This window comes from Homo sapiens, chromosome 11, assembly GCF_000001405.40.
Source record: "Homo sapiens chromosome 11, GRCh38.p14 Primary Assembly".
In the NCBI taxonomy this organism is placed as follows: domain Eukaryota; kingdom Metazoa; phylum Chordata; class Mammalia; order Primates; family Hominidae; genus Homo; species Homo sapiens.
In genome coordinates, this window is record NC_000011.10 from 69,571,274 (window position 1) to 69,581,143 (window position 9,870).

The 9,870-nt window shown below is 49.9% G+C and overlaps 3 annotated features.

Moving 5' to 3' along the window:
• Positions 2,030-2,174: an enhancer, noted in NCBI's record as "145 bp 11:69388143 sequence used in MPRA reporter constructs". NCBI's record gives its function as "activates a minimal TATA-containing promoter with rs652190 allelic activity by MPRAs in C283T melanocytes {active_cell/tissue: C283T}" and the evidence as "EXISTENCE:reporter gene assay evidence [ECO:0000049][PMID:36423637]".
• Position 2,102: a transcriptional cis regulatory region, noted in NCBI's record as "rs652190 or 11:69388143 MPRA-significant variant associated with a GWAS melanoma risk locus at 11q13.3". NCBI's record gives its function as "allelic transcriptional activity by MPRAs in C283T melanocytes {active_cell/tissue: C283T}" and the evidence as "EXISTENCE:reporter gene assay evidence [ECO:0000049][PMID:36423637]".
• Positions 4,780-5,342: an enhancer, noted in NCBI's record as "H3K4me1 hESC enhancer chr11:69390821-69391383 (GRCh37/hg19 assembly coordinates)". NCBI's record gives its function as "activates a minimal SCP1, AML or CMV promoter by ChIP-STARR-seq in naive H9 embryonic stem cells {active_cell/tissue: H9 hESC(naive)}" and the evidence as "EXISTENCE:reporter gene assay evidence [ECO:0000049][PMID:30033119]".

Here is a 9,870-nt window from a genome sequence, read left to right on the forward strand (position 1 = left end):
AAGGCTTCTGCCACATGGGAACCCCATTCCTATACTGAACATAAGGACTTTCAGGGCAGCAATGAAAATGCAAGTTCCTGGGCTGCCCCAGCAGTTCTGATTCATTGAGTCTGAGCAGGGGTCATGAATTTGTGTTTTTAACCAGCTTTTCATATGATGTTGACCCAAGAGGTCTGAGGAACTCTGCTCTAAGAAAAAAGGTCTAGTGATTTTTTGAGGATGATCATCTTTAAACAAACCACGTTCCCAAAAGACCTGCCTTTACGGATGGTGAGTACAACTTCTTGCTTGTGTTGAGAGTTTTGGCTGTGGGTCTGAGCCAAAGAAACAACAAATAATGAGGACCTTTCATGTTGTGTGATCAACTTCCAAAATTTCATAACGCTTTTGCAAACCAGATATTTGATGCCAAGGACTTTACCTGCCTCTTACCGAAGAAAACAAAAATATAGGGATGTTGGTGGTCTTGTACAAAGACTCACACCCAGAAAATCCTTCATCCAGGAATAAGAACCATTATGGGAGTGGAAATAACTTGATTGGGGTGTATGTTATATATCATATAATTCACTGGTTTTGAGTGTGCCAGTGAATGATGTCTTTGTAAATTTACCAAGCGGTGCGATCATCAACATATAGCTGCAGGGCCATTCATCACCCCAAGAAGGTTCCTCCTGCTCCTCACTGGTAATTCCCACTGTACCCACTCCACCTCCCACCCCTGCCTAGCCAACCACTGAGCTCCTTTTTGCCCCTATAGATTTACCTTTTCTGGACATTTCATCTGAATGGAATCACGCAACGTGTGGTCTCTTGTGGTGGGCTTTTCTCTCTTGGGCAAAATGTTTTCTATCCATCCTGCTGTGGCATGCAGCCTTAGTTTGTTCCCCTCAATTGCTGAACAGCATTCCTCTATGTGGATGGACGGCACTGTGTTTATCCATTCACTTGATGATGGACATTTAGGTTGCTTTTAATTTTTGAAAACACCCCTTTTGAAATACCACAATCTGGCTGCTTCTCGGAAGAGATGTCACACTTGGACGTCCTGTCCAGGTGGATAGATGGGTGGGGGGTGGGGCGCTGTTGGAAGTGCTGCAGTGGGTCACATCTTCCGGGCTCTCCTGTCTACCCAAGGGGCAGCCATCAGCACGTGGGGACGTCAGACCTGGCACAAGGCACATGTGGCCTGGGTGAGACCAGGCTCTCTGGACACCAAGCCCAAAGTAGAGTTGTGGAGTGCGGGCTCCTGGGGAAGCTGCTGGGAGGGATCAGCAGGGTGAGGCAAGAGGAGGAACTGGGCCTGGCTCTGGCCTCAGCAAAAGGCTGCCCCTAGCCCAATGCTCAGGGCAGCTCAGGGGCATGAGTCCCACTGCACCACTGGCGCCGAGGCTGGGCCAGCCTTTGATCCACCTCCAGCAGTCACCGGTGTGGGCTGCCCCTTGAGGTGGGGTGTTCCATAACTGCCTGGGCAGCAAGATCGGGGGCTCCCAAGAGCACCCACCAGGTGCCATTGACAGCCAAGACCCTCAGCAACTGGGAGGTGGATGCCCTCACTCAAAAAGGGGATCTGGGCAGGCACCAATGGTGTTTGTTACATACTCACACAAGCTCTGGTCCCCATGAACCCAGCAGCAACATCAGCTCGCTCCTGCCAGCTCTCCAACCTCCTGCTGCCTGGGCTGGGACCCCCAAGACAATGAGCTTGTCCCCACCTCAGGGCCCCCACACATGCTGCTGTCTCTTCTCCCATTGCACGCTTTGCCACCTGGTCCTCCCAAATATACACAGCACACGTGTGTGTGCATGCAGGTCTCCAGGGTGGGGGGCTCAGGAAAAGGTGGGACCACCCTGCCAGCGGCCTCCAAGTAGCTCTGACTTCAAGATCTGTCTCACAAACGGTTTAGGAAAGGTCAACCATGCCCAAGGTGCCTGCTCATGCTGTACTGAAATCCAGTCCTGTGTGCAAACACAGAAGTGAAGGCAATCGCAGGTCAGGGAGGGAAGAGATATTGGGAAGACACACTGGAGTGCCGTAGCCACACTGAGGCAGGCCTGGACCACACCTTCCATGGATATTAGAGGGCTTCCTGGAGGAGGTGTCAGTTGAGGAGACCCTAGGAAGGTAGGACTCAGTCCAGTGATGAAGAGGAGCCATGAAATCCAAGGGGGAGAAATTGGCACCCAAGGTGAGGCAGCAGAAGAGGTCTTGCTCAGTTAGGTGCCCACAACTGGCTGGAGTTCAGGCTGAGGGCGGGGGACTAAGGGTGAGGCTAAAAATGGGGTCAGGAAGGGCCTTCTGTGTTTGAGTTTTAGCTCAAGGCCCTTGAAAAGCAAAGAAAGACTTGACCACATTGGTTATGATCTGCTCACCAGCCTTATTTTTCCTATGGAATTTGACACTTATCATCCATGTGGCTTTCACTGGGTGACTCTGAGGGTCCTGGGAGGACTCCAACCATCAGAACTCTACTTGTACTCTATGTCGCTTCTTTGAGTCTTCCAGTCTTAAGCTGGGCACACCCCTGAGATGCTTATGGATGCGACCATCTTGTTAATTAAGACTTTAACTTCTGAAGAATGCAGAAAAGGGTAGCTACACATTAAAATTGTTCTCTGCAGTATCCAACGAAGGAATACTGGAAGGAATGCAATATGTTTTTACTGTTTTAGGCTGCCAAGCTCTTGCATGCAAAGGCTCTGGCATCCAACAGCGATTCACAGTCTTTTCTCCTTCAAATACTCTGTGTTTGCCAGGTAATAAGCCAGCTCTTTGGTACTAGGGCCAGGCAGCAAAGTCCTGGGTCCTAAGCGGGCTGGTATCTGCACTTGGGAGGAAGGGAAAAAATAATCCATGCATTTCCCATTGGCTTAGGAGAGCAGCACCACCTGCCTGGATCAGGGGTCCCTTGGTAGCTGAGTTCACTGAGACAGAAGCCACCACCAGCCCTGGAAAGGCGACTGATAAGAAGCTTTCAGAGCACCATGGGGAGAATGCAGGGGCCGGGAACGAGGCCCACGGCTCTGCCGCGCTTGGAAAGAGTAAAGATGTTATGGAAATTCAACTATAAGGTCTAGAAAAACCCACTGGAGAGCTTTAGGTGGTTTTGACTGAAATTTCAACCGTGTGTGCCTCCCTCTGTTAATGTGAGTCTGGGGGCTTCCTGGCTGAGCAGCTCAAGGGTGGATTCCCCAGCCAAGCCCAGCCAAGCCTAGCCCAGCCCAGCCCAGAGACAGGGAGGTGGCAGGTCCACAAAGCCAACGGGCCATGCTCCGGCCCAGCTCTGTTCCCAGGGCCCTACTCCTGGCTGTACCTGTTGCTGAGGCCTGGGAGTCTGGCTTTTCCCCATCACCCCAGGCCTCATCAAGTCTGCCCCAGCACCGAGGTGGCAGAAGTGCAGTGCATTCAGATGCTGAGAACCACGTGGCTGGAGGGAGGCCTTGCCCCCACCCTCCCTCCCACCATCCACTCAGGGTCCGGCTGTCCTGTGTCACCCCCAGGTGTCCCCGACTCCCTGCAACTCTCCCTTCACCCGGCTTGAGCCTACGGCTTCCTGCCCCCACTATCCCATCACCTGCTTTTGCTCCCGTCTGCACCTACCTTGTCCCCCAAGCCAACAGCCTCATGTCTCATCATCAAGACCACCGAGGCCCAGGGAAGTCAGAGGTAGGCCAGGGTCGCAGAGCGAGGGCGAGAACTCAGGGCCTCCTTCACCAGCCTGGGCGCCCTGCCTCTTCCCACCAAGCTGCGGGTCCAGGCCATTTCTACAGGGAGAGACGCTCATTGCTCTGTGTGTCCCCCCTGGACCTTGGTCAGACCAAAGCCACTTGAAGTTGGGGACAGCCTTGGAGGTGTTTATATTCCTCAGGGGTGTGAGGCAGTGGGTGCGGCTAGGACATTGGGGGCACCCTATCAAGACTGACAGCCTGGTGGGGGCTGGGTCTCCGTGGTTTCTTTACTCAAGTCCTGAAGAGTTGATGCTTTCAATCACCTGTCTCTCCCTCTCCATCTCTCTCTGTGTCTCTCTGTTGTTGTCTCTCTCTGTCTCTGTCTCCCTGTCTCTCTCTACTGCTATCCCAATGTGTCTCTTGCTGTCTCCCCCTCTGTCTCTCTCTGTCTCCCCGTGTCCCACGTCTCTCTCTCTGTGTCTTTCTCTTGTGTCTCTTTGTCCTTGTTTCTCTCTCTGTTTCTTTCTGCCTCTCCCTCTCTGACTCCATCTTCCCCTCTCTGTCTCTCTCTGCCCTTCTGTCTCCCTCTCTCTGTGTGTCTCTCTCTGTGTCTCCCTCCTGTGTCTCTTTGCCCTTGTCTCTGTCTCCTTCTGTCTCTCTCTGTCTCCCTCTTTCTGTCTGTCTCCATCTCCCTCTTTCTGTCTCTCTCTACTGTCTCCCTCTCCCTATGTCTCTCTCCCTTTCTCTCTCCCCACACTGACTGAGCTTTGAGACCTTCCTCCAGCCTGTCCCTCTTCCAGGACGGCTGCCCAAAGGTCTCTGAGATATGTGGGATGGACCCACACCCCCCGGAGGGTTCCCAGGCCCAGGAGAAGTGGTGGTGGTGGAGGTGGAAGGAATTTAGAACGCCCAAGGCGTTAAGCGGCGGGAGATACTGACTCTTGTGGGCTTTAGTGTCTTTGTCCGCCTGGTTTTCAGGTATTCCAGAGGTAGAAAGGTCACTTGTATGAGCACACAGAATCGCTTCGGCTGAGCGGGCAGTGTCTGGCCAGCTGTGGGGCTGTCCTGGGAAGGCAGTGGGCTCGTGGTCTGCCCAGGCCAAGCTCTCCTGGATGCGTGACCCTGGGTCAGTCACCGCACACTTCCAGCCTGTTTCCTCCAGGGACCCTTCCAGCTCCTCTGTGCTTCTTATCAGTGCCAGGCTGGTTGCGGGGGGTGGGGAGGCCCAAGCACATTCCTTCCCCTTTTCAGACTGGAGCAGGGCAGGTTGCACATCTGTGAGCTCCAGAGCAGAGGACCCAGCCCTACCTGTGAACCTTTCAAGATGCACACCTGACCCGGTGACTTTGGGCAGAGCCTGGCTGGCCAAGGTACCCTGACTCTGACCTTAGCCAGGACAGGGCTGCCCTCCCAGCCCGGCCATCTCCGGGTATTTGCAGTTGGCCCCAAGAGGAACTGGAGAGAGACTGATTGCAGAACAGCCTAAATCCATTCACTGCTTGCAAAGCAAACCCAAGCTCTTTCCTTCCTGCTGGTGGGACAGTGGCAGAATCTTAGAAGAATGGGGCCACCGAGTGTGGGGTTCAGGGCACAGTAATGAGACTGGCCTGGGTCCAACACATGAGAGCTCACTCTGCAAAGAAGTCCGATTAGAGATCCCGATGCCAAGCCTGGCTCAGAGCAATTTGGGCACTGCTCATGGGATACTTAGCCATGCTAGGAAATTCTTCCCGTGACTTTATTATCACACATCAAAAGTGGCTCCCCCACCCAGCCGCATAACCTTCTCTGCACAGAGCTGCATACCTCCTGCTGATCAGTCCTAAAAGCAGTGACCACCTCTGAAGAGTGTGCTCAGGACGTACACCCTGTATAAGGCTGCCTCGTTGTCCCAGAATCTACCCTCGGAAAAGAGAGACCCCCCTTATAAAGGAGTCCTTACCAGATCGCTCATGTTATAGGTCTCCCTCTCGATATTTTGTTTTATATTTAATAGACAATTTTTTAGCCGTTTTAGGTTTACAGAAAAATTGAGCAGAAAGTACAGAGAATTCCCGTCTACTCCCTCATCCCTCCTCCAGCTTTCCCTATCACTAACATCTTGCATTGATTTGGTACATTTGCTGCAAGTGATGAACCAACCGCAGTACATTATTATTTGCTAGAGTCCACAGTTTACAGTAGGGTTCACTCTTGGGGTCATGCATTCTGTGGGTTTTTTTTTTAATTTTTGATTTTATTTTTTTTGAGATGGAGTCTTGCTCTGTCTCCCAGACTGGGTTGCGTGGCACGATCTTGGCTCACTGCAACCTCTGCCTCTTGGGTTCAAGTGATTCTCCTGCCTCAGCCTCCTGAGTACCTGGGATTACAGGCACCTGCCACCATGCCCAGCTAATGTTTGTATTTTTAGTAGAGATGGGTTTTCACCATGTTGGTCAGGCTGGTCTCAAACTCCTGACCTCAGGTGATCCACTTGCCTTGGCCTCCCAAATTGCCAGGATTACAGGTGTAAGGCACTGTGCCTGGCCGGTTTTGTGAGTTATGACGGTAGTACAATGACATGTATCCATCTTTACTGTGTCATATGCAATACGGTCAGCCCTCTGTATCCGCAGGTTCTTCATCCACCAATTCAACCAAGCACAGATTGGAAATAAGAACTTGTGTTCTCTAAGTCCCCTGCGCTCCACCTATTCATTCCTTCCTCCCCCGAGCCCCTGGCAACCACACGTCATCTTACTGTCTCCATAGTTTTGCCTTTCCTGGAGTTACAGAGTTGCAATCACACAGTGTGCAGTCTTTTCAGATTGTCTTCTTTCACCTGGTAAGATACATTTACAGTTCTACTGCATCTTTCACGGCTTGACAGCTCATTGCTATTTTTTTTTTTTTTTGAGACGAAGTTTCACTCTGGTTGCCCAGGCTGTAGTACAATGGCACAATTTTGGCTCACTGCAACCTCCACCTCACGGGTTCAAGTGATTCTCCTGCCTCAGCCTCCTGAGTAGCTGGGATTACAGGCATGTGCCATCACACTCAGCTAATTTTGTTTTTTCAGTAGAGATGGGGTTTCTCCATGTTGGTCGGGCTGGTCTCGAACCCCCGACCTCAGGTGATCCGCCTGCCTCGGCCTCCCAAAGCGCTGGGATTACAGGTGTGAGCCATTGAGCCAACAGTTCATTTGTCTCTTCACCTACTGAAAGACATCTGGGTTGCTTCCGAGTGTTGGCAATCATGCATAGGCGACTTTAAACATCTGTGTGCAGGTTTTGTGTAGACATAAGTTTTCAACTCCTTTGGGTAAATACCAAAGAGCATGATAGCTGGATCACATGAAAAGAGTGTGTTTAGTTTCATAAGAAACCACCAAACTGGTTTCCAAAGTGGCTGCACCATTTTGCATTCTCAGCAGCAGTGATGAGAGTTCCTGTTGCTCCACATCCTTGCCAGCATTTGGTGTTTTCGATTTCGGCCACCCTATTAGGTATCTAGTGGTGTCTCATTGCTGTTTTAATTTTCAGTTCCCTAATGACGTATGATATTGAGCATCTTTTCATATGCTTATTTGGCATCTATGTATCTTTTTTTTTTTTGAGATGGTGTCTCGCTCTGTCACCCAGGCTGGAGTGCAGTGGCACAATCTCTGCTCACTGTAAGCTCCGCCTCACAGGTTCAAGCAATTCTCCTGCCTCAGCCTCCCAAGTAGCTGGGATTACAGGCACCCATCACCACACCCAGCCAATTGCCATCTGTATATCTTCTTTGATGAAGTCAATTTTTTTTTAAAAAAAGAAACATGGTTGGAAGATGTTGGGTAAAGATACTAGTTACCTGCCTGGTGTTTGTCCTTTCCTAATTCTTGAGTAAGAGAAATTCAATTTTATTTGGGGCAGCAACATACCCTGCTAAAAGACTGTGGACTTCAGCAAATAATAATGTGCCACGGTTGGTTCATCACTCGTAGCAAACGTACCTACTGACTTCTGAACCTCTCAGGAGTGGGGCCCTTCAGCAAGAGTAGACCTGGCCCCTCTTAGCCTCCCTGGGGTTCCTATCCCAAGATGTTAAGGACGCAGGACCCATTTCTCCCTTAAATCACTCTGGGAAGCCACGAATCATGGAGTCATAAAGTCTCAGGCTACTGGAGATTTTATTTTCCCAGACTCTCTTTTGGCCAGATGTGGCCACATAGTAGGTCCAGGCCAATGACCCATAAGCAGAAGTGCTGGGTGGGGTTCCAGGGACTCTCTCTCAAGGCAGCTAACTCAGATGGGAGCTGTGCTCCTTTCTTCCTTCTGCTGCCTGGAACTCAGATGTGATGGCTGAACTCCAGCAGTCAGGTTAGACCATGAGCTGTTCTCGGGAGGGGAAATGGCACACTAGGATGGTAGAGTTGAAAGACTGAAGAAGGAGCAAGGTCCCTGGTGCCTGTGAAGACCCCATACAACCTCAGACTACTCACCTCCAGACTTCTTTTATGAGAAAGACAAAGAAACTTCTATGCTCTATAAGACACACTTACTTTGGACTTTCTATTACAAGCAATCGAATGTACTCCTAGCTGAAAGAGATGCAGTAGCAGAAGCAACCTCAGTCTCTGGAGACTCTCAATGCCTATGAAAGGTGCCATCGAGAAGTGAGGACATCTAGCATAGCCTTAGAATTCTCCCTTGGATCATGACTTCATAACTGTAAATGTCCAGTATAAGAGGTCCAAGTACTTTTTGTTTTTTATAGATGGGGTCTCACTATGTTGCCCAGGCTGGATTCAAACTCTTGGGCTCAAGGGATTCTCCCACCCGCAACCTCCCAAGTAGCTGGGACGACAGCTGCATGTCACCATGCCCAGCCCGAGTCTTTTAAAGACCACTTGTTGTGGGGTCTCCACTACAGACCTATAAAAGAAATGAGAGAGCACTTGCCCCACCTTTGCGGGAGTAGCTCCCTGAATGAGTGGACAGGTGCCAGCTAGCCCAGACAGGAGAAGAGCTGCACTCTGCAAAGTGTTGCCATAAAACCATGTCATAATATGTGAGATGGGAAAAGCAATATGTCTACATCAAAGCATTTCATGTGATATGTACTTGTAAATGTGTGTATGTGCAACTAGATCAGTGAGTTGGACTAGGTAAGTAGATGTCTCACAATTTCATATATGTCCCTGAAAGTTCATGTGTTCAGGCTCATTGCTCATTACTCAAACTCCTTTTGAAGCTTCTTTTTGGGAAAATAGGCACCCACCACCATCTATTCAGGATCACCAGGTGTATTCGGCAAGCCTGGGCAATGGCTGTCTTGTAGAATAGGTGTGTATCCCCCTTGGATGACTGCAAAGACTTGTTTTGTTAAAGAATATATTTGTTTAAAAAAGGAATCACATTATTTTATCATTAGTAGCATTTGATAAATCCTAATCATGTGGATAATTCTAATAATATATTCTAATCACATGGATTCTTATGATAGCCTAATGATAGTGATGATGACGTTCTAGTGATGAACCTAACAATCTATTCTAATTGTGCAGGTGTCCTGTTGTTATGAGATGCCCTGTGAAAGCATCCTCGATCACCCTTCTCACCTTGGGTTTTAACTTGACACCTGTCCCTAATGGGTCATTCATGGGTCTTTTATAAAATGGCCACTGATCACCTCCTGAAGTGGCTCTGACTAGGGTCAGATAACTCAGGCCCAATTTTCCCAGCATCTCAAGCCACGTGCTTTCACAAGCACGGTTTTGATAACATGTGCTGTAGGCATTGTCTGAACCCTGACATGATGGCCACACCAACTTCTGGACCTCTCGGGAGTGGGGTCCTTCAGCAAGAGTAGATCTGGCCCCAGTCAGCCTCCCTGAGGTTCCTACCCCATGACGTGAAGGACATGGGACCCATTTCTCCCTTAAATTGCTCTCTGAAGCCATGAGTGTTCCTCTTCACAGAGTCATAAAATCTCAGGCTACTGGAGATCTTATGAGACCATTTCTTTCATTGAAGGTCCTCCAAAAGAATGCTGCAGCTTCAGACACAGCCTATGCTCTGTCCATGCAATACAACCAAACTTACCAGGTGTGGAAAAAGTAAGCAAATAAGTGATCTGCTGCTTAGATGGTGCTGCAGGTTGAACTGTGTCCCCCAAAAAGATATGTTGACGTTCTCATCTCTGGTACCCGTGAATAGGAACTTATTTGGAAACAGGCCC